This window comes from Homo sapiens, chromosome X (genome assembly GCF_000001405.40).
Source record: "Homo sapiens chromosome X, GRCh38.p14 Primary Assembly".
Lineage (NCBI taxonomy): Eukaryota > Metazoa > Chordata > Mammalia > Primates > Hominidae > Homo > Homo sapiens.
The window spans coordinates 95,091,985-95,095,118 of record NC_000023.11 but is presented as its reverse complement, the minus strand read 5'-3'; the positions used below and the strand labels follow the sequence as shown (position 1 = coordinate 95,095,118).

The window sequence follows — 3,134 nt, the reverse complement described above, 5'->3', positions numbered from 1 at the left end:
TTCTCCTGTTGGGTCTCTGAGTTAATAGGATTGCTTCCAGGATCACCGTCAAAAGAAGTTGGAGCCAGGTTATATGACTAATAGGTCTGCAGTGGGGTTCACAGATTAAAAGCTTGTTACCAGGGGCTATAGTGAGCATGGATCCTGTCTGGTCCCTGGGTAGACTGGACTGCCTCCATAATTTTGGTTAGTATGGCTGGAGCTGGTTTGAGTGTCTGCTTCAGGGACTGCTGATGATCAGCTTCTAAATAGATGCAAGGACTGGTGTGGCTTCCTTCTGCTTGCTGGAAGGGCTCCCAATGGGTCATTAGGTAGGCCGCTGGGAAGTCAGTGCTGGCTTCCAACTGAGACTAAAACGGGCTAGAATCAAGTCACAGGGTTGCTCCAAGTTTCACATACAAGACCATTGTCTGTAAGCCTGACACTGGGGACACAGATTGGCATGTCACCTCTGGGTCTTTTTTTGGGCAGAACTGCTCTCATATTACTGCTTAGAGGGTCTGGAGCTGAGTCACAGGGATGTTTCAGGATTTTTTGTGTGACTTGTAAAGTTAGTAAACCTGCCCCAGGGACTCAGATGGACATAGTTCCTCTGAAACTCTGTGAGCAGGACTGTCTTCAGATCACAACTGAGAAGGGATGGAGCCACATCTCAGGGACATTTTAGGGTCTTCTGTGTGACCAAGGTCAGCATACCTGCCCCAGTGACTCATACCAGTATTTTTCCCTCTGGATTCCTGTGCTTCCAGCAGTAATTTTCTCACACTGCAGCTGAGAAAGCTAAAGCTTGGTTTCAGGGTCCTTTCTAAGTCCACAGCCAGGGCCAAGGTTGGCATCCCTGTAACCTGAGGCAAGTGATCCCCGGGTTCCTTGACAGATAGTTATGGTGGTAGAATGACTAAGGACAAAAGGGGTTGTAACCAAGTCCCCAAGGGGAAACGGTCATTTCTGGGTCTGAGGCTGGAACTGTAGTTTGCAAATCTGAAACTTGTTATGATTTGTCTTCTCAGAATGGCCTTCCTAGGTCTCAGGCTCTACTGGGATATTACAAAATTCTACCTAAATCCGAAAACTCCCACAAAGACACTTTTGTCAATGGATAGCTGTGAACCAATTGTTGCTGTGGGTGGATACAAGTAGAAGAGCTCCTATACCATCATTTTGCTGATGTTACTCTGGTTATGGGCCATTTGTATGTGTTCTTTGGAGAAATGTCTATTTAAGAACTTTGATGATTTTTGAATCTTTTAAAAAGTAGTATCAGTCATTTGTATATTCCGAATATTAATCACTTATTCAATATATAATTTGAAAGTATTTTCTCACATTCCATGGATTGCCTTTTCACTTTGTTCATACTGTCCTTTGAAGCACAAAAGTTTTGATTTGAAGAAGTCAAACTTTTCTATTTTTTAAATTGCTTGTGCTTTTGGTACAATATCCAAGAAGTACTTGTAAAAGCCAATGATATAAACAATTTTGTTTTCCTTTTGTTTTAATTTTAAGAGTTTTAGAGTTTTAGCTTTTATGTTCAGGTATTTATTTTGAATTACTTTTTATATATGGTGTAAGGTAAGGGTTCACTTTTCTATTGCAAGTGGACATTGTTTTCTCAAGAACATTGTTGAGTAGACTTTCTTCCCCATTGAATGGACTTGCCACTCTTGTAAAAAATCATTTGGTTATATACACAAGGGTTAATTGCTGAACTGTCTCTTCTATAGTATTTGACTATATGTATTTCTTTAAGCCATTACCACAATGTTTTGGTTACTGTACTTTTGCAGTAATTTTTGAAATGAGGGAGTGTCAGAACTCCAACTTTGTTCTTTTTAAAAATTATTTTCACTAATCTGAGTCCCTTATAATCCTAAATAGATTTCAGATAAATTTTACTATTTTGCAGAAGGCACCATTAAGATTTTGATGTGGATTTCCTTGAATCTATAGATTTCTTTGCGAAGTGTAAAAATATTAACAATATTAAGTTTTCATGCACGTCCGTGTGAAGAGACCACCAAACAGGTTTTGTGTGAGCAACAAGGCTGTTTATTTCACCTGGGTGCAGGCGGGCTGAGTCTGAAAAGAGAGTCAGCGAAGGGAGATAAGGGTGGGGCCATTTTATAGGATTTGGGTAGGTAAAAGAAAATTACAGTCAAAGGGGGTTTGTTCTCTGGCAGGCAGGAGTGGGGGTCACAAGGTGCTCAGTGCGGGTGCTTTTTGAGCCAGGATGAGCCAGGAAAAGGACTTTCACAAGGTAATGTCATCACTTAAGGCAAGGACCGGCCATTTACACTTCTTTTGTGGTGGAATGTCATCAGTTAAGGTGGGGCAGGGCATATTCACTTCTTTTGTGATTCTTCAGTTACTTCAGGCCATCTGGGCATATACGTGCGAGTCACAGGGGATGCGATGGCTTGGCTTGGGCTCAGAGGCCTGACATAAGTCTTCTAATCTATGAACATGGAATGTCTTTCCATGTTTTTGTGTCTTCAATTATTTCCAGCAACATTTGTGTGTATGTGTGTGTGTGTGTACAAGTCTTTCACTCACTTAGTTTATTCCTAATTTATTTTTTCAGTGCCATTGTAAATGTAAATGACTTCTTAATTTTCTTTCAGATTGTTTATTATTATTGTAAAGGAATGTAACTAATTTTGGGCATTGATCTTTGTATTTTGCAAATTTGCTAATTTTTAAATTAGCTCTGGAATTTTTTTGTGTGTTTTTTGGGATTTTCTACATACAATATTATTTTCACTGTGAACCGATATAATAATTTTGCTTCCTTTTCAGTTTGGATGCCTTTTATTTTCCTTTCTTGCCTAATTTCTCTGACTAAAAGTTCAAGTACTATGTTGAATAGAAGTGGCAAAAGGAGGCACTTATGTTATGTTCCAAATCTTAGATAAAGAGCTCTGAGTCTTTCACCATTGAGTCTGATGTTAACTGTGGGCTTTTCATAAATGTTCCATATTGTGTCGAGGTACTTTCCTTCTATTTCTTGTTTAAGTGTTTTTATCATGAAGGATACGTTAAATCTTGTCAAAGACTTTTTATGCATCAATTGAAATAATTGTGATTTCTATTGCCTTCATTCTGTTAGTGTGGTGTACTCTATTGATTGATTTTTT

General features: G+C 39.0%; 1 annotated feature.

Annotated features, from left to right (window-relative positions):
- Positions 1,976-2,670: an enhancer, noted in NCBI's record as "OCT4-NANOG hESC enhancer chrX:94347448-94348142 (GRCh37/hg19 assembly coordinates)". NCBI's record gives its function as "activates a minimal SCP1, AML or CMV promoter by ChIP-STARR-seq in naive and primed H9 embryonic stem cells {active_cell/tissue: H9 hESC(naive and primed)}" and the evidence as "EXISTENCE:reporter gene assay evidence [ECO:0000049][PMID:30033119]".